The following is a 21,902-nucleotide window of genomic DNA, read 5'->3' as shown; positions in this document are numbered from 1 at the left end:
AATAAGGAAAAGGAAACATTTTGTGATATGCGAGCTATTTGGTGGTATCTTGGTCAGAAAGGTAGGGGTAGTGTTAGAGAGCAGATAGGAATGGAGATAAGAAGCTTCCGCAAGAATTCTTCTGATTTAATTTGAAAACGGAATTAAGTCAGAAGACATGCCTCCAAAAGTATACCAATGTTTCTTCAAAGAACATTTTGTAAAATAGTAACCCATCCCATTCAGAAAGTTGCTTCCCTCAGCAGCAACACTTTCCTATCCTCTTGGAATCACAAGGTTATTAAAGTCATAAGCAAGTAGCCCTCATGGATTATTTCCTATCTGCCAATAGGAATAATTACCAATATTGTGTATTAACAAATGTAGTATAATTATTGCACCTTCTGATAACAGATTGCCTGGGGTTCAAATCATAGTTTCCCTCTCACACCTGTGTGATCTTGAGCATGTTAATTAGTGTCATTGTGCCTCAGTTTTCTCATCTGTAACATGGGCTTAGTTTTGTTATATACCCCCATGTGTTTTTGTGTTTTTTGTTTTGTTATATACCCCCATGTGTTTTCGTGTTTTTTGTTTGTTTGTTTCTTTGTTTGTTTGTTTTTTGAGACAGAGTTTCTTTCTTGTTGCCCAGAGTAGAGTGCAATGGCACGATCTTGGTTCACTGCAACCTCCACCTCCTGGGTTCAAGCAAGTCTCCGGCCTCAGCCTCCCAATTAGGTGGGACAACCGGCATGCACCACCATGCGAGGTTAATGTTTGTATTTTTAATAGAGATAGGGTTTCACCATGTTGGCCAGGCTGGTCTTGAACTCCTGACTTCAGGTGATCTGCCTGCCTCGCGCTCCCAAACTGCTAGGATTACAGATGTGAGCCACCGCGCCCAGCCAATGATGTAATAGTAATAAGAACATGCACTGTGTAAGTGACAAATAGACCAAAAACAAAATTAGATAAATTCCTGTACCCCATCAGGCATGGTATTATTACAACTTATTTTTCCTGTGATTATTTATTTGAACTTTCAAAGATACTTCTCTTCTATTGAAATTCTAGAATTTGTGTCACAAGTCAATCTTCACAACATCTATACCTTCTGTGTTTTTGTTTAAAGTCTTTAAAATTCAACTGTTTTAGGGCATTCCCTGCAACCTGGTTCAGGCTGTGTTTGCAATCCCATCTCCCATAGTTCCTTCATGTGATGCTCCACTTCAGTCATGTTGATAAAATCATAAAAACATCCTATTTGTCTTGCACCTGAGAGTGTGCCCAGGTCCTGGCATTCCTTCCCCACCCATGTTTCTCAGTAGGCCTTTGGAGATGCCAACACGGCTGCGGTGTCAAGTGGACTCATGAAGCACTAGGCCCTCAGGATACAATGGCTAATCATGTTCAGCATGGAAAATATCATATTTTCTTATTGACTTCCACATAAAATCCGAAAAAAAAGGTGACAAAGCAAAAACAAAACTGTCCTATGTTCAGTAGGATGGTATTAACTCAAACACAAATAACGGCTGAAAACAGAGAAAAGATGTAAAAGTCATAATTTAAATTTTTAAAAATGTGATTCTATGTTAATCGTCTTTAAAATCTTTGAAAAATATAGGTACTAAAATATAAATTAAATAGTGAGTACACATTGTATGTATATTATACATGTGTATTTAATATATATTATACATTTAATATATTTATATTTAATACATATTAAATATATATTTGATTTTTGTTTCTATATACAATTATTCGTATATCATTTAATGTATATGTATTAAAATAATTTTTCTAGTTAACAAGCCAAGTTTGTATACTTTCCTTTCTTTTCTTTTCTTTTTTTTTTTTTTTGAAACAGAGTCTCACACTGTGTCGCCCAGGCTGAAATGTAGTTGGGTGGTCTCGGCTCACTGTAACTTCTGCTTCCTGGGTTCAAGCAGCCTCCGAAGTAGCTGGGATTACAGGCATGTGCCACCACGCCTAGCTAATTTTTGTATTTTTAGTAGAGACGGGATTTCACCATGTTGGCCAGGCTGGTCTTCAACTCCTGACCTCAGGTGATCCGCCTGCCTCGGCCTCCGAAAGTGCTGGGATTACAGGCATGGGTCACCACGCCTGGCCAAGTTTGTATACTTTCATAGCAATTTAATACTTTTGGGGAAAATGCCATGTGAAAGACTATCTTTTGAATCCTGTGCCACACTACCCTAGAGTAATGAAATCCTACCTTTGTACATTTAAGTGTTTTGGTCATGTATATTCACATTCAGTTATAGCTACATATTGAATAAATGAGCTATTATTACATATTCACTGAGAAATCTTAATTGCATCTCAGGTTATGAGAGATACTTATTCAGATACTAATAGAAGACTTTAGTTTCAAGCTGTGAATATAAAGTGAGATTTGGGAAGTGCTAGAAGGATGGTGAGTTGCTTTTGCCTTGATTTTTTCTAAAAGGCAAAGCAGCAGCATTGTCTGTCTATACAGGGTCATCAGTTACAACGGGATGGTTAATTTTGCACAGTTATTATTCTTGCATAGTGAGGACTTGAACTTAGTTACTACCATTTATTATATATCTGCTTTTTTTAAAAAAAATCCCAGATTCCAAAGGCTAATAAAAACATGTAAAATTATTTCTTTTGGTTTAGATTTTTTTTCTTCACATGGATACAAATGCTCAATTATTCTTTCTTGTCCCACCTTTTTTATGTATTATGAGAAATGATTATATAGCTAATGTCCTAAATGCTAATGTAATAACAAATATCAGCTGCAATTAATCGGTGACCTATTTAGAATAAAAGTCCTTAAGAAGACACTTTTTTCTTGAACATTTAAACTTGTGTTACTCCAGTTTTATTATTAATTATGAACAGTAGTGTGAATTATTAATTTTAAAGTACATGTAAGTGTTATTTAGGATATTTTTTAAAAGTGCTATTCCCTTTATGAGTACTTCACAGTTTATATCACATCAGTAATTAATCTGTACTAGCTGTGTGACCTTGGGAAAGACATTTGGTTTGTAAACTATTCTATGCTTCAGTTTCCTCATCTGTAAATGGGGTTTATTGACATGTCACGAAGGTTATTATAGGTATTATAACACACACATACACAAGTTATTATAGGTTATTATAGGTATTATAACACACACATACACAAGTTATTATAGGTTATTATAGGTATTATAACACACACATACACAAGTTATTATAGGTTATTATAGGTATTATAACACACACATACACAAGTTATAGGTTATTATAGGTATTATAACACACACATACACAAGTTATTATAGGTTATTATAGGTATTGTAACACACACATACACAAGTTATTATAGGTTATTATAGGTATTATAACACACACATACACAAGTTATTATAGGTTATTATAGGTATTATAACACACACATACACAAGTTATTATAGGTATTATAACACATACACAAGTAATTATAGGTATTATAGGTATTATAACACACATACACATATAATATATATTATATATAATATAATATATAAATATATATAAATATATATTATAAATATATATATAGATATAAATATATTTATATAATTATATATATTTATATCTAGATATATTATATATATTTTATATGTATATTTATATCTATTTATAGATATATTTATATTTAGACTTATATCTATTTTATAGCTATAACTATATAAAGTATTTATATATTATAGATATATACACCTACTCGTGAGTATATATACATATAAATTTCTCTTTTAAAATGATTTTTACAGAATTATAATTATACAAATACATAATTATAGTTATATAATTACTGTAATTTCTTAAAATGATTATAAATTCCCAATGGCATCTTTGAGTCACCAATTGCCTGCACTTCCGCCTCAACACTTGCACCCCGAGAGCCACATCCAAAGCCTGCTTTTCTGTCTTTATTTAAGGAGGATGAGGGAGAAGTGAACCCAGGATGTCAAGCGTTCTCCTCTCTGACTTTCTCCTCACACCCTTCCACATGGAGGCATTCTGAGATTCAACGTGCACAAATCACTGGGGGGCAATCATGGATCTCTAGCAACTTCCTGCTGGCAAGTGGATTAGGATATCATGGCCAGTGATGTAGCTGATTGTGTTCGTTGTCAAAGAGGGAAGGAGGGTGTGAAAGAATCAGTATCGTGGCAGTGGGCATGCAGAAGTCATCTGCAAAATTCTGCAGTACCTTGAGCAACCCAGTGGAAAAGGAATACTGTGCATCCTTCTCTCCTGCTCTCAGTACATACCTGGCATCTAACTGATGCTTGGTTTCCAACCTGACAATTATTCTTCAAAAGAATAGGCATTCTGTGGGATGTTTACATCGGTGTGCTGGGCACATAGTATAGTCTGTAAAATTGTTGGCGCAGACTCCTGTGGAGCTCTCTTGGCACAGACAAACCTCTGTGTGTGTGTGCACCCGTATATGTAGCCACTTTATTTTTCTGTGATCGTATTGGACTTAGAGTTTTGGAGCTGAAAGCATTCTTGACCTAAACTGTTCACTTTCACTGTGAGACAGGTGCTGAAAGGTTAAGTGACTTTCTCCAGGTTGACAGAAAGTAGAGAGTTGTATGTATTTTCACTTTTACCTTGATAAGAGGAATTTTGTTTGATACAAATTTAGATCTAGAAGTCAATTTTTCTCTTCCTTCATTGGGAAAGAGGGAGAAGCAGATAATTACTGCCATTGAATGTTCTTCCATTATAAGACATAATGCTGAGGCATTCAGGGATGTGACATCCTGAAGATAACTCAGTGGTTTGGTCTGTCGTTAGATTCCCCTTTGAATGCGTCCCAGTTGATGCCATAAGATGTCAATGAAGGAAAATGCAGACAAACAATGGTAGAATGGGAGCGTGGGAACTGGTGGGGACATTTCATGAGGCAGGAATGAGGTGGGTGGGAGAGGTGCTGTGACAACCTGACGACACAGCCAGTGAGCCATGGTGCTGGAGCACCTCTGTTTTATTCTAGAACTCTCTGTATGATAGCATGCTGCTTCCACATAGTCAGAGGTCATTCTGTTAATAAGACAATTTTCAAAATGAGCTAGGTGGGGTATCTTTTTTGGTCCAGTTGGTCAAACAATAAAAAAAAATCACTGATCTATTTTGAAATAATATATTACTAACACACATACGTTGATAGAAGAGGAGGCTATCATGATTTTAAAGTTTTTAATCTGTTAAAAACAGTAATTCCACTTTTGAATCCTCTTTCTCTCATGTCCTATTTATTGTAGCCGAATGTGGAGCAAGTGTCAAAGGAAATGAAGGAACATTACTGTCTCCAAATTTTCCATCCAATTATGATAATAACCATGAGTGTATCTATAAAATAGAAACAGAAGCCGGCAAGGGCATCCACCTTAGAACACGAAGCTTCCAGCTGTTTGAAGGAGATACTCTAAAGGTAAAAAGAATCTTCTCCAACATGATGACTCCAAGTTTTCTTCTCAAAAAATACATTGTCTATCTATTTTTCTACATATAGATATATGCACATATTAACATATATTTTTATATATGATTTATTTGTATTTATTTACACAATGAGTTTGAGAAGGTGTAATGTCACTTCGCTTAGAGCAGTGTATGTGGACTTTGAAATAACTTTGTAGATAAACCTCGATCTAACATTTATCAGTCCAGCACCTTATGAAAGTTATTTAACACTTTTGATCTTCAGCTTCCTTATGTGTAACAAAATGCAATTGTACCTACCTTTCTGGACTGTCTTGAGGATTTAATACAATAATATAAGTGGATGTTCCTAGCATTGTGTCTAGCACATAGTTGTAATTATTAAAAGTTGCAGGATCCCCAAACCAACCCTTTCTGTAGTTAATCTTGATTTTTAAATGTGGTCATACTGTGGAAAGCTGGAAAGGTTCTGAAGTGATAATGGAGGTAAATCCAGCCACAGTGGTCAGATCACAGACAGGGCTGATGAGGAGAAGCCAAGCCAGGACAAGACAGAATCTCAATATTGATGGCAGGGGTACCCAGGTCCTGCGTTGATTGACAAAATCCCAGCTCCAACTAGAAATGCCCTTAACTTCTAAGAGTCCTGATATAATTTTCACCTCTCCTGTAAGTATTTCAATAAATTGGGAACCTTCCATGGCCTAGGGGTTGGAGAATGGGCAACCTAGCCTCAAGGCACTGAAAAGGAAAAGCTTCAAGAAACAAGAGCTAATGCTATAATACTATCTTGTCCAACCCGCGGCCCACAGGCCACATGCGGCCCAGCACAGCTTTGACTGTGGCCCAACACAAATTCGTAAACATATTTAAAACATTATGAGATGTTCTGTGATTTTTTTAAGCTTATCAGTTATCTTTAGTGTTAGTGCATTTTATGCGTGCCGCAAGACAATTCTTTCAACATGGCACAGGGAAGCCAAAATATTGGACTCCCCTGCTATAAATCATCCGTCCAGTCACCTGCTTATTTCAGCGAGGTGAGCAATTTAGTTGGACAGAAGCCTGGTTTCTGGCAAGAAAGGAACACGTGGCTCTTTTTATTCCCTTTTTAAAATTCTAGGGTTTTTCAATTAATTTACATCTACGTAGATGCACATAATGATGCATTTTAGATTCAGTATTGTCAACTCACTTTGAACTATGAGACTTCTAAGAGAATATGCAGAAAGCCAACTAAAAGGGAAAACACTGTGTGTCCTCCCTTTACAGAATGGCTGGAATGGAGCCCCCGCCGGGCTCCACTTGACCTCATTAGAAGTTATGTGCAAAGGTCAGGAGAAGCTTACAGATTAAAGGGCCTTACTTCCTCCTAAGGCCGCGTTTGCCTGTATTTCAATGTCATAATTTAGTAGAGTGGTTTTATTCTAGTTGTTCTTTCATTTTAATAGTCTTTTGAAATCTCACACTGGCAGTATGAGGGACTGTCATGAAGAAGTGGTTTTTAGGCAGGAAACTAGCACATTCTTACTAATCTAAAAAGAAATAGTTACATCGCAACTGAATTTTTTAATAACCTCAAATTTAGAAGTCAGTAAGCCTTTAAGGCAAAGTTTTAAATAACTCTTAACTATACTTTAGTGCAGGTGAATGATTAGAGATACTGCATAAAATACACAAGGATAAATATTATTGCAATGGAAGGAAGGAAATTATGTTCATTTGTGATTGCATGCTGTTTAAAGTTGATTATAACAAAAAGTTGTTTTTAAAAAAACGTGCTTCTCACATTTAATTACAGAGAAGCTGTCAGTCATATAAAATACCTACACATTTTGCAGGCATATATTTTGTTAAATATGCTAAAAAATATCTCTGTTAAAAATGTTTATAGTAAAATTATCTTAATTTTCAAGCCTAATGCTGTTCACATTGATCCTTCGCACATACTGTGATGTAATAATAAAGACTAAAATTTTATATACACGCACCCCCTGCACACGTAAATAAACATGATGTTTTCTTGCTTCATGTGGAAAAATCATGTAAGAGATATCGAGCTCTCAGAAGCATGTCATGAAAGGAATATAGAATGGAAAACGCAATTAATTTTGGAAATAAATCTGCAGGGTATAGTTTCTGTAAAACTGGGAAAGATTTCCCCAGAACTTTCAATGTTGTCATGCTAGCATTCTGTGTGATGTCTTCTAATCTGTGATCATCAGCTAACCCAGCAACATCCCTTGAGTATATGGCATTAAATGCTGAACTCTGAGGAGGGTTTGTAGTGCAGATACTTACAGGCTTGTATTAAACATATGAATCCCAAAGACTTTCTCTAATAACTGAAAAGAACCCTTTGAATCTAGCTACTTATAGGTGAAAAAATATAACTAGGAAATGTTGTACAGAACAGGTGTAGCCTGTTCCTCATCCAATTGGAATCAGAAATCAAGTCTTCTGACTTCCACTCCTATCTGGGTTTTTATTTGTGATCAGTGCGAAACCTGAACCCAGATTTTAACTTTAGAGAACTGACAGGGGAGTGTTCCATGTTCATCAACGACATACACTTTCTCTGGGGTTTCGGTGGTTGGACCCAGTGCTGATTGCTGATGACATGGATAAAGAACGCAGAATTGTTGTTCTGAAGAATCTTACGATTCAGCTTTTGAGCTGTTCATTTTTAGTGGTTGTAACCATGAAGCCACTGGGAGCAAGGTGCAATCTCTCAGGGATCCACGGTGCGCTTGGTCAAGTCCTCATGAGGACACGGGGAAGCCAAGATTCAGGAGAGCGGATGAACCTACAGTGTGTCAGGACCCAGCAGGGGCTTCACTGAGTGTCTAGTTCTTTCGTATTTCCCCATCTTTATGGATTTCTGTCAATTACAGACAATTCCATGGTATACGGGGTAGCCCAAGGCCTTCCTAGGGAGACCTGCACCTTTTCTCTTTGACCCAGATTCCTCTGGAATTAAAACCATTTAGTCTCTGGATGTCAGACCCCGGCTCGTCTAATAAAAACATGGAATAAACCAAATAATGGTTTTTACACAATGACCTGGGTCAATAGTCTTTTAGTAAGGAGATTAGAGAGTATCTGATTCTACCCCACTAGCATGTGCATATTTAATTGTAATGAAATAACTACCCACAAAATTATCTTTTCTAAATGTATTTTCTCCTTTTCTGAGTATCTATATCTGTGTACATCCCTGGGTTTATATATTGATTGAAAGACAATGAAAGAAAAATTAATCTGTATAAAGAGGAAAGAAGTGGGGAAAATAGACAAACACATTGGAAGAGCCTACTAAGACTCTGTTTAATTTTATTTAGTTAGGGTACCATTTTTCTATTAAGACAAACTGAACATTTTCCAATATCGTGTAATAAATGTTTATTTTTACAGCCCCCTGCTAGTGAGGGAGGCAGGTGGATTAGCCGTGCCCACCTAGTGCTCTGTTGTTATTGGGAGCGAGGACTGCTGCATTGACTTTTTTATTTTACTTTATTTTATTTTATCTTAAGCTCTGGGATACGTGTGCAGGAAGTGCAGGCTTGTTACCCAGGTATACATGTGCCATGGTGATTTGCTGCACCTTTCAACCCATCATCTAGGTTTTAAGCCCCGCATGCATTAGGTATTTGTCCTACTAGAAAGTCAGTGCTGTTTCTGTTACCTGAGCCTCATGGCATTGGCAGAAAGTGCATGGGTCCTAAACACTTTTACCCGATCCTCATTCAGATTATGATGGTGACACAGACCCACTGCTCCCCACCATGTGACCTGTCTCCCCACTAGTTGGGAACCCATGACTGAACCTTCCCTCTCCCGGCTGGTCAAAACCAAGCCTTGTCTTCCTTATCTTCCGTATACTTATTACATCTACTCTCGTTTTACAACTGCTTGGGAAGATAATGCCACATACAGAGCATTTTAAGCAACATCACACTTCTGTATTACTATTGCATGATGAGATACTTCTGTTATTTCAAATTCAAGATGAAAGCCACCGGAGGCTTGCAGACTACAGAATGTGACAAGATTCCGGCACATCTTGTTGTCCTTTAGTGCATTCAGACAGAAGGGAATAGAAAGGAAGGGTATGTTCTTTGACTTAGTTGAGAGTTCAGAGGAGATATTCAAGACTAAAATATTATAAATCCTTTTTACTTTTATAACTGAACTATGAGAAAAGGAATAAAAAGGTAGATAATGAAACCTGGAAATGTAAAGAAATATTTATTTAATTTTAAATGAACACAGAAAGAGCTCTTAAAGTAATGAATATAAAATGATCTGAACAAGAATGGAATCTTTTGCCTCCAGTGTTAATGGTAAAGATAAAATTTAAAGAACAAATATGATTTAGCTCTAAGTCCTTCATTTATCTTTCTGTAAACTATATGCCTTTTTAAGTATTGTTTAAAACTGCATCTTTGAAGATTTGGATTGTTTATTACCATTGCTAACATAAGAATCCAGTGAAGGCATAGAGGGACTCATGCTGTGAATTTTCATCAGGTATATGATGGAAAAGACAGTTCCTCACGTCCACTGGGCACGTTCACTAAAAATGAACTTCTGGGGCTGATCCTAAACAGCACATCCAATCACCTGTGGCTAGAGTTCAACACCAATGGATCTGACACCGACCAAGGTTTTCAACTCACCTATACCAGTAAGTAACATACGACTTAATCACGTTCTTTTTTCATTTTGTCAGGACATATCTGATACTTGGCTTATATTAAGTTTTAAATATTGATTTTTTTCTGGCTGCCTACTGTGTTTTTGATTGCAGTTTAATTCTGTACTCTGTTGACTGGTTGTATATTCGGACACATTACTAGTAGCTTGAAATTTATCTATTTGGAAATATTAATTCAAATAACAAAATAGTTGGACCTGAAAAGGAAACGTCTTACAACATTTTAGATCTGATGGGCTTAAATATATTGATTGGGGTATAGTATACATTGATACAAATTCATGTGCTTATATATGAAGGCTTTAGAAGAGATGTTTGATACAACCGGAGGTAATAGACTTTGAATGACACACACACACACACATACACACATATATTTATACATTTAATCATATATATGTATAAGCACACACACACACAACAACTACATAATATGTAGTAAACTATTTTCTTTTCACCATTAATTTTTGAGACGAGAGAACTAAGAGGAATACTTTGAATACTTGCCAGAGATAACAGTTTTAAGAGTTGGTGGAGCCAGGATTGAAGCTGTAGCTCCCAGTTATCGGTGCTTCCCATCATCTGTATGAACAAATCAATGTGGAATATGTTTTTAAAGATGTAAATGAAGAAGCCAAAAGAACAGGGAAATAAAAGAGATGCTGTGTTTCAAAAGTAGGAATTTGCAAAGTGATAACTGCCACTTTCAGCATTTTTAGTTCTGAAGTAAAAGAAAAAGCTATTTGGTGTGGATAAGTAATTAAAATTAACTAATTAATTAAAATGTTTAAAGTATATAAAATTGTCAAATCCTTCACTCATCTGATAAATGTAAAAACTATATCATACTGAACACCATGACATTAGAAATTTAAAAGTTTGGGTTTTTGAGCATAAAAGTATGTTAGTGATGGATACCTTTATTTGATGGATAGGCAAAAAAGGTCCTGCAAAAGATAATAATCATCCCACAGACCCAGAGCTAATCCAGGAGCCTAAGACGAAGATTAATCACCTCAAATCCCTCTTAGGAGGAAAAAATCACAGGTGAAGAATTGTAAGACTTTGGCCAAAAAATAGAATAAGTGTGGCTGAAATCATGAGGAAACCAGTTTTTCACCTTTGTGATAATACCATTGAAAAGACTGAGTAAATAGAAAGCCTATGAATTAATATTTGTGCACAATAAACTGATAACAATTGATGTTACAAGATCAACCTATAATTATAAAATTTTTACTAGAATTTTACCTTCCAGGATTTCCCTCTCAGAAATGTCTCAAAGAGCTCTTGTAAAACCATTTTGCTTGCAGATGGAATGAATGCTATTGTGATTGTTTTTTCCACTTCTCGTCCCTGTCGAGATGTTCAATGTATTTTGTTTTCTTACTTGGATGTCTTCATCCCCGCTTCCTTGCCCCTACACTAGTCTTAGAGGAACACAGATACTTGAGAAGAAAAACTGTTTGAAAAGCCTGTGGGTAAATTAAATTTTGTCTAATTACGGGGAAGTTCCATGCACACCTACGGCGTTCTTCCAGTTCTCTTGCCACTGAACACATTTTCGTTGCTTTTTCTTACAAATCCTGCCCCTGCTATGGCTCCCTGGGCAAAGAGCAGAAAACGTTGGCCTGGGATCCTCCCTCTCTCCTGGGACCTCACTCTCAACACTGCTGCAATTTGCGATGTTACTAAGCTCACTTTTTCCCTTCCTGTGGCTGCTTCACAAAAAACACATTGTGCTCAGCTCGTGTGTTATTTCTCATTACGTTTCCAACCCTAGTAACTGTTTCCCATGTTCCTCCGACTATTTCCAGTTGGAATGATTTCTCATTTGTAAACACTTGGTCTCATTTTCTCATGGTGATGCAAAAAGTATCCAGAAGAAGATTTATGCATACTGGAATTTCAGGGGCTTGGAATCAATGTAGGGATACTGAGCTGTTTCCATAATTCTGAAGCCTCTTCTGTTGTCCAGGTAGCAGTTAGGAAGGTCCATGTGCTCCAGAGCCGTGTGACCGTATGGAAACTATAGGTGGTCGGCTTGTTCCATGTTGATGTCCACCCTCCCTCACCCAGAAGGCTTGCGTCAGTGGGCGAGGCTCAGCCCTGCCTGGACCCCACATGGATACTGTGACTCTATTGCTCCCCGGCATCCAGCATCACTTTAGGAAGTTTTGAGGTCACTTCCACTTCACTGAGTAACTTTGTAAAAGCTTGAATCTATTCATCTGTTTGTGGGCACTTTCCAATTCTACAGACATTTTTGATTACATAGTAGCACAAATGTTCTATAAATAGGAGAAAGAAATATTGGAGAGGATTGGCACTTAGCTCTTATTATAATCAATTTGACAGGAGTAATTTTCTTGTTCTCCCTGTTTCACCTTTCTGTTCCACCTGCAAAACCCGGAGACTCCTCAGGTCTCCTTTGCAAGATTATCTTAGAGCTGGAACATACTGTCTGGTGGGAAGATATATTTGTAATAGAAAATTGGTGGTGCTGATGGCCATATAATCAAAATAGTATTAACCTCACATTAAATTGTTAGTTGTAAATATAAGTAAATAAGCTGAAGAAATCCCCAGCTCCCCAAGGTCATCAAATACCTGAATCAAATATTTATTCCAAAAAGATGTCTCAGAAATGATGACCGGTTAGATAAAATATTTTACGCAAGTTATTTATGCTTAAGACTGTGTAAAGACACTTTCAGCTATTTTCAAAAGACTTTTGTAATTGCCTCTTGATAGTTAATTGCACTACTTAAGGAAACATTAGTATTTAAATGTTTCAGATCCATAATTAATGCATATACATGAGTAGATTAGAAAATGTCAACAGAGAGTAAAATATATAGCTTAATAAAAAAAAACCCTAACATTTTTAGAAATGGGTACAAACAATATTTCTTTATCCCTTCATATTTATAAAAGCATACACTTAGGGACCTTTCAACTTTACAATCCTGGTAATTCCAGGTCTTGGGAAATAGCTCCTTCTACTCTTCTTTATGAATTAAAAACCGAGTCTTCAGATATTTTAGTAATTTGCTGCACACAGGGAGTGGTGTAATTGCAACCCAAATCCAGGCCTTCTAACTGAATACCAGAATTGCTGATGAACTTATTTTCAACGATTTTCGGTGATCCTCATTTGGCAGGCATCAAGTATATTGACCGATATTGATACATGCAGAGGAATTGCCTGGGAAGAAAAACCAGAGTATCTTTGGGCCAAATCGGAATAAATACGTTGCTGAATAGGCATTTATTAAGCAAGTACTGTTTTCTGAATAGTAAGTCAGACCAAAATAAAACTTTAAAAGTGTACCTTCGTTAGAAAACACTGCTTTTTATTACAGACTTGTCTATGTTCATACCAGATAATATGCTTCTGGTGTATAATGATGTCCAATGGAGCCATAACCCATAGCTCTGTGAAATCGGGGACAATGAGTGTCCACTTGTTTGTACTTCTTCGCACCTTACACAGATGTGTGATCTGTGACATAAGAAGCTTAGAATGGATGATTGTCATTCAAATTGTATTCCCTGGTGACACTGAGGGTCCACAGAGCTGTATCAGGCAAGAAGTAAGAGTTTCACCTGAAGTAACAGAAGCATTGGATATCAGAGTAGCCCTCTGAGAGTAATTTATTGATATTGACATAGGGTTTCCGGTACATGGACCAGCTTCGTCAATTATTTCAAATTACGGAACTGGCATTCTGATGTTAAAGTCCCATTGGCCCTCTGATGAGATAAATCTATTTTGGGTACACCGATGGAACCAGAATTCTGAGCCTACCAAATCACCCAGGGAATGCTTTTGAAAGACAGCTGGCTAGCTTTCCTAAGGCAACCCCCCTACCCTTGGCTCTTAAAAGTCTCACTTTTTTGATAGAGAAGAGAACCCATAGTCAGGAACATCTTTAAAGTGTTCTGCAAACAGAGGCTTGAAGTGAAGGGCCTGTGAAAATGGATGAGGAATTACAGATGGGTATAAACGACATTCCAAAGAAACACTGAAAGGCTGGATCAAGAAAATGTGGCACATATACACCATGGAATACTATGCAGCCATAAAAAATGATGAGTTCATGTCCTTTGTAGGGACATGGATGAAATTGGAAATCATCATTCTCAGTAAACTATCGCAAGAACAAACAACCAAACACCGCATATTCTCACTCATAGGTGGGAATTGAACAATGAGATCACATGGACACAGGAAGGGGAATATCACACTCAGGGGACTGTTGTGGGGTGGGGGGAGGGGGGAGGGAGAGCATCGGGAGATATACGTAATGCTAGATGACGAGTTAGTGGGTGCAGCGCACCAGCATGGCACATGTATACATATGTAACTAACCTGCACAATGTGCACATGTACCCTAAAACTTAAAGTTAATTAAAAATATAAAAATAAAAATTTAAAAAAAAAAAAAAGAAAGGCTGGAGATGAACAGCTGGATCTGCATGATAGAGCTGCCACAATTCCATATGGCAACTTTGTACCAATTATTTTAAAAAGAAAAAAATAAAGCCCTTTCTCTGGAAAGTTACAGTCCTCAGGATGCACCCTGCAGAAGTGCACTGGCCAGCCCTGAAAATGAATCAGCTGCATAGCTGGTATCACGGGAGAGGCCCTGACTCTGAGCCCAGGCACTTGGCAACAACAGTGTTTAATTTAAAGACAGGGAAATAGGGACATTCACAATTCTTTCTCTTCATCCTGCCCCACAACCAGATTTCTCATCCCTGCTGAATTTTCATTTTTGGGGGATCCTGAATTGGTCCCCTCATCACTATCCTGAATTCTCTGTCTATCCCTTTCTTGTACTTAGCTGTGTTTTGATTTACACAATTTCCATTATTTTATTTATGTACTTGGTCAGGGTCTACTGCCCTCATTCACTTGCTAGTTTCCGTTCTGTGGACACTGACTCAACTTGTCAAGAAACGCCCAGCACCCACGCATGACTAAGCCACTCCCTGGGCATAGAGGCGTGGATGCCAGGGTGACCTGGACATGGAGATGAGACAGGCATACACGTGTGGTTCAACAACTGGATTCAGATATCAAATACGTTGTGTCTTGTGGCTGGTTTTAGCACCTCAGAGGGATGACAGACTCCTCAAGGGGGTCCTTTTGTATTTGCATTTATTTTTGGACACAATTCCAATCCCACAACGCCTGCTTGGCATTAAGTTTCATGAATGATATCGCTTGGGAAATAAAAGCATCTGCCAAAGTAGGAAGCTAGAGAAGTGTCTACTGTTCAGACGTGGTGAAGAGGCTCATTAGGGAAAACCTAGCCGAGCTTCCCTTCCACAAAGCACCAGTGATTCCTGGCCAGGGTATATTGGCAGAAGTTTGAACAGAGGTAGAAGAAACATCATAAACACTTACGGTTTGGGTTTGTAGCAGAGCCACTCAAAGGAATACTTTTGTTTAATGACTCATAAAATAATCAGATCCCTATAGGCTGACTTTCTCTCTACCCATTAGGCCGATTCCAGGTGAATGTGTGATCAGTGCCCAAACTCCTAGGGAGCACTTGATCTCAGCAGACGCAAGACTGGTCTTTGAATCATTTTGAGATGGTTGAGCTTAAGGCCATGGACCTCTCTGTCCAGGCGCTGGTTTTGTGGATATGCATTCCCTGTACATCAGCATTAGACATAGCATTGATGAAAGAGTGGCCATCGCTTACCGAGAACATCCTCTGTCATTCTTTACACCTATCTCATTGTTTAGGCAAGACTGCCAACCGCAAAGAGATCTTTGAAGCCATCAAAATAAACGCAAGCTTAAATTTTGGTTGTAGAATAAACCTTGTGGCTGAGAGTCAGGCACGGGTGTAATTATGCAGAACAATGACTTTCCCTGGCTTGCTTCTAAGGGATGCTTCATAAATATTTGCTGAATAGATACAAAAAGGTTTAATTAAAAAGTGATGAATAATAAAAGCAATTTATTTCATCCAAATTGGTATGTTTATCAAAATATTTTCTGCTTTTGAAAGGTTCTAGACTTTGAGATAAGTAAGGAGACGGAAGATGGGGATAGGGCGAGTCGTTGCGTTGGTTTGTGGCAGAGTCATGTACTGAACCCTTTTCAGTCTTCTTCTTGTCATGCCCAGGGTTCCAGGGGATTAGTCAGCTGTGCTTTTGAGGCAGGGGGACAGCAAGGCCTGGCCAACCCCAGCTCCAGCCTCCCCAGAAAGTTACAGTTCACAGGACACACCCTCAGGCACAGCTCCTGTCTAATTTATATAGCAACTGGCATAAGGTCAGTCTCCTAGAACTAACTGACTTTTTTTAGGGGAGCATTATTACAAGACCTGTGTTTTGGAGAAGGCTTGTTGGACTAGGATCTGACCATCTCAGACATGCTACAGATTAAGGTCAATGCCAGGTGCTATATGAATTAGACAGGAGCTGTGCCTGTCCTGGAAGCCCACACACAGCCCAGGGCCAGCGATGCATGCAGCTGGGGGCGGGACTCTGAATCTGTTCTGAAAACAGGAAGTTAGGTGTGCAGGGCTCTCGCCCACATCGGGAACAGTCTCTGGGTCCTCTGTCTGGATGGGGGCACAGGGCTCTGTGATGAAGTACATGCTCTCAGTGTGCCCCTTGCTCTGTGGTAAAGTGAGACAAAATCAGAGCGGGGTAAAGCATCTTTCCTCTAGTTCCTTACTCTGTTCAATCCCAACCACCACACTTTTTCCCAGTGTTGATTTTATCTGTGAAGCAGGGACAATAATAGTTTACTTTTCTAACTTATGTAGAAAACACATATGAAATGGCTTTTGAAAACATCCAAGTGCTATATGAATTTAAGTATGTTTTTCTTCAGACTCTGTATAACAGGGGTCATGAAAAAGGCTATAGAAGGTGACACATGTCTCTTGGCATAGGAATGCCTACAATTTGTGATGGGAAGTGGAGACAGTTCTCAGGGTTCAGGGGCCTTGGAAACACTCATAATACCCCAAGTTGCAAAGGGACTGATTAGCATGTATTGTAACTCACACACGAAGGCCTTGCTATGATCTAACTTAATACTGATGAAAACCCCACAGTTACTATTTTTCTACTGCCTTAGGTATGAGGGAACAGAGGTTTGGAGAAACCTGCCCATGGTTCCATGGTTCAGGAGGGATAGGGATTTTTTTCTAACTTCAGTTACTCAAAGCACTTTGTACGTTAACCTCAACACAGTCCTATGGGAGAAATGTTTTCTAGGCTTAAGGATTACTCATCGTCCTCTGCATGTAAATTAGCCCAAAATAAAAATCTACAAGCGCTGGGTAGGAAGGCCAGACTTTTGAGAACAGAGAAGCCTTGGATCAGGTTTCTACCTTCTGCTCTTTGAACTTCCATCCATGAATTCACCTCTCTGAGCCCAGTCTCCACCCTGGCAAAATGCAAATAATAGTAAAGCACTGTGCAGATTTGTTGTGAGAATTAGTGACATTGTATAGAACATCCAGCTCTGTGTCTGCTCTACTCTTAGGTGACATTCCATACACAGAAGCCATTGTTACCATTAACCTTTATTTATTATTATTATTTTCTTGAGTCGGAGTCTCACTCTGTCACCCAGGCTGGAGTGCAATGGCACGAGCTCGACTCATTGCACTTCCACCTCTCAGGTTCAAGCGATTCTCCTGACTCAGCCTCCCTAGTAGCTGGGATTACAGGTACCCAACACCACACCCGGCTAATTTTGTATTTTTAGTAGAGACGGAGTTTCTCTATGTTGGTCAGGCTGGTCTCGATCTCCCGACCTCAGATGATCCACCCGCCTTGGCCTCCCAAAGTGATGGGATTACAGGCGTGAGCCACCATGCCTGGCCAAACCTTTCTTCTTATATGAAATGTGAGACCATTTGTGTCGTTGGGACACACACCACTGGCTGTGTGTGATGGAGGGGAAATTGATCCTGTCACTGTGCTCTTCATGGCACGGTCATCACAGTGACTGAGAGGTTGGAACTGTGAATTCGTAACACAGAGCAGAGGGTATGGGCAAAAGGAACCATTAGAGGCTGGTTCACCAATACCCCTAACAAGTGACATGAGAGGGAGGGAGAGAGAAACATAGTGGTGTAGGATGTCCAACCACCATTGACTGCAGGCACCTCCAGGGTCCTGGGCTCCTCTCGGTTTCATGAGTCATAGCTATACTTCTCACTCTGCCATGAGCTGTATCAGAAATGTTTAAGAGACAGTATCATCTCCTAGAATTAACTCACTTTTTTCAGGGGAGCATTATTACAAGAGTTGTGTTTTGGAGAAGGCTCGTTGGACTAGGAGCTGACGCTCTTAGCCGTGCTACAGATGCAATGGGATCACCCAGTGGTGACACATTGCAGCTCCCCAGCAGGCTGTGCTGCCACCTGCAGTGTGGATCTGCAGACTGCCTGGTCATACTCAGTTTAAAGAACATTAGAGAGAGACCTAGGAAGTCCCACTCTACTTACTCTGCAAATTCAATGTGAAATAAAAAAGAATGGCATCCATTCTGTAAAATGGCCCATCCATTTGCAGCCGTTTGCACTGCAGCTCCATATTTATGTTTTTGCCACAATAAGTAAAAGGTGAAGGTGGGTGATCTGATATTGACGACTAATTCTGAAGACATTACAACGTAGCCTGTGGATGCGAAAATTAAAGCATGGAGCTGTGGGTTTATGTAGCTGTCATGCTGGTTTTATTAACACATTGATACAATAAAAATGACATCAACATTAAATATACTATTATAAATGACAGAGTGGCTTTGAAAATAAAAATGACATCAACATTAAACATACTACTATAAATGAGAGAGTGGCTTTGGACAGGAATACACTCTCAGGACCGATACAGAAGCACTAAGCATTGTCATTTTGGTGCTTGAAAACAAGGAGAAAATATTGCAAGCATGAAGTGTACACAGCTGCTGAATGCAATCAATTACTGGAAACAAACCTGAAGGTGAAGAGCAGGGTATGTCAGAATCCATCATTTGGAGTCCCTGAAATTATGCGTTGATCAAGAGAGATAATGCTTTCTTTATAGGATTGACTGATACCTTGAAAAGGTTGATGTCATTTTCTTCTGGCATCCTCTCCCACCTATCTCTACCCAAACACATCAGTAGACACTCTGTGTGCGTCTCATATAGATTCTTTCAATGCCTTCACCTCCCTGGCTATGAGTAAGATATAAAAGGGCATCACGATGGGTCCATGTCATCATTGATTACTTCTTTTTAAGAACTAGATTTTGGAAATCCTATACAAGCTGAGGGGCAGTCCTCAAATGCACATTTTCTACAATCTAATTTTGTCAATAATAAAGACACTCACAGATTTCCCAGACATTCTTGGTTGTGATGTGTAAGCATTGCTGTTTTAAAGTAAAAGAGATTATAGTATTCAAAGAATAGCATTCACTGCCTTCTTGCTTTTTACGGTGTATTATATTTTAGGAAATTGAGTCAAAGCATCTTTTCATCCAGTGAGTAGTTTTAAAAATTATTCACAACCATGCTAAGAACCAGGGGAAAGTATAGAATAGGGTTATAAAAATAAGGAAATATTCAGCCTGCACGTAAATCCACACTCACAGATTTTTACTTATTTCAATAAAGATTAAGATTATGGCAAACATATTATGCTGCTCTAATATCTACTCCTGGCATTGCAGTATCTGTGTAGTTTGTAAATTGCAGTATCTATATATCATTTGTAAATAAAAGCTTACGGCAAAATTTTGTTTTTACATAGCTGTTAACCTAGCTGAGAAAAACGTTGGGAAAATATCCAATAAGCAGTGTTTGTTTTTCCCACAGTTAACTTGTAGATAATTTTATAAAGTGTTTTAAAGTGTTTTCAAATAATAGGCAGTGTTGTGTACCTTAGTTTTCTATTGCTCTGTAACAAAATACCACACGTGTAGGGGCCTGAAACAGCACCGTTTCTTATCTCACAGCATCCGTGGGTCAGGAGCCCAGACACGGCTTGGCTGGGTCTTCTCTCAGGGTCTCACAAGGACGTGACCAGGTGTTGGCTGGGCTGTGGTCTCATCTGAGTGTCAGGGGCCTCTTCAGGCTGTCAGCAGAACTCAGGTCGTCACAGTGGTCAGACTGAGACTCCCAGCTCCTTGGTGCCACTGGCATTTCCCTGCCACGTGGCTGTGGTCTTCTCTGGGCAGGGCGTGTCCTTGCTGGCTTCTCCAAAGCCATGGGGAGCCCTCACCTCATGGAGGCCAGACCCTCTTTCAAGGGCTTTCCCTGGATTGAGTCAGGCTCCGTATCTTGACAAACTCAGCATCGACAGAACAGACACTTCCGTGGCATCTGGTGCTCTCACACTTGCCATGTTCAGTTGTCAGCTCAAGTCACAGACTGTGCCCACACTCAAGGAAGGAGAAGAATCATTCATACATCCAGGGTTGGAGCAGCAGGAGGTGAGGGCATCAGGGTCCCTGCAACATCTGCCCGTCAGAGTTTCCTATTTAGGAATGTTTTCCTTCCATCTCAGATAATTTCATTTAAAATAAAGTGTGTGTGTGTGCGCACGCACACATGCACGCACTCCCACACACACTTGAAGACATAAAGTATATATTTAATAAAGGGAATGTACAATTCATTGCTTACATGTACTTTTAAAGTTTCAGGAAATATTTCAGCTTACAGTAGTTAATCTGTTGTCTGCAAATAAAACAGGTTTCAGCGGTGACATTCTGAATGGTCACAGGCATAGTTTTATTATGTGCCTCGATCTTCCCTAAGCATCAGCCTCACTGCAGCTCCGGTTGGCCTTCCAGGCCCCTCCTCTCCTCTTCCCAGCTAATTCAGGCCCCACCTGGAGAGACTCAGAGATGTCTGGAGGTGGGTGAGGAGCGGGCAAGCCCTCAGCAACCCCACCTTCCCTTCTCTGCTAGGAAAAGCTTACAAGAGGGTCTTATTCACATGCAAAGCAAGAGGGCAGGATACAATTGTCATCAATGTTTAATCTTAGAGATGACGTTTTAAGGAAAAGTCATTGTTTTCATGCCATCAAGCAGTAGTTTTGGATAATATCCGTGCATCTAATAGATATCTCAACAAACATTTACATTTATGTATCATACCTGTCATCATCTATCATCTATCCCTACGTATCTATCATGTGTCTGTCAATTAATTGATCATCTATTGATTGATAATCTATGATCTATTATCATTCTGTCTATATCCATCTATTACATATGTATCTACTGATTGACGAGGCAATTATCTATCATTATTTATCTATGATCTGTTTTTATCTATCTAGCTATCTATTATCAGTCACCTGTCAACAATGATCTTCTGAATTTCTCTCTGGAGGACAGGACACTCTACTCTTACATAGGCCAGAAAAGTTGTACATTGAAATGAATCAAGTTTACACATAAAGAAATAGGAGTAACTGCTATTCAATATATCATTCACACGGTAACTTTAAAGATCTGGCATGAAGCCCTGAAGGTCAGATACCAAGTTCATTCCAGGTACATACGCAAGAGAAACCGCCAGCTGTGTCTTTGGGGGCCATGGTAAAAGAGAAATATTGGATAATATATCAATGAGCACTGACCACGTGCCAGGCAATTCACATTCATTGTCTCATTTTATCTCCAAAGTAGCCCTTTGAAGATGATCCTTTTGTTATTTTCAGTTTAAAGACAGGAAACC

General features: G+C 38.8%; 1 protein-coding gene across 4 annotated transcripts in view, besides 1 other annotated feature; it reads left to right on the top strand.

Moving 5' to 3' along the window:
* Positions 1-21,902, top strand: part of CSMD1 (CUB and Sushi multiple domains 1) — a 2,059,554-nt gene that overhangs the window by 1,641,471 nt on the left and 396,181 nt on the right. For all 4 annotated transcript variants that reach the window (XM_011534752.3, NM_033225.6, XM_011534753.4 and 1 more), the window contains 2 exons: positions 5,283-5,452; positions 9,994-10,150. In XM_011534752.3, the coding sequence (XP_011533054.1) occupies positions 5,283-5,452; positions 9,994-10,150 (327 nt within the window). The remainder of the gene's footprint in view (positions 1-5,282; positions 5,453-9,993; positions 10,151-21,902) is intronic.
* Positions 6,406-7,065: an enhancer, noted in NCBI's record as "OCT4-NANOG hESC enhancer chr8:3203901-3204560 (GRCh37/hg19 assembly coordinates)". NCBI's record gives its function as "activates a minimal SCP1, AML or CMV promoter by ChIP-STARR-seq in naive H9 embryonic stem cells {active_cell/tissue: H9 hESC(naive)}" and the evidence as "EXISTENCE:reporter gene assay evidence [ECO:0000049][PMID:30033119]".

This window comes from Homo sapiens, chromosome 8, assembly GCF_000001405.40.
Source record: "Homo sapiens chromosome 8, GRCh38.p14 Primary Assembly".
Lineage (NCBI taxonomy): Eukaryota > Metazoa > Chordata > Mammalia > Primates > Hominidae > Homo > Homo sapiens.
Note: the sequence above shows the minus strand (reverse complement) of the source record. Positions and strands in the feature narration are given on the sequence as shown.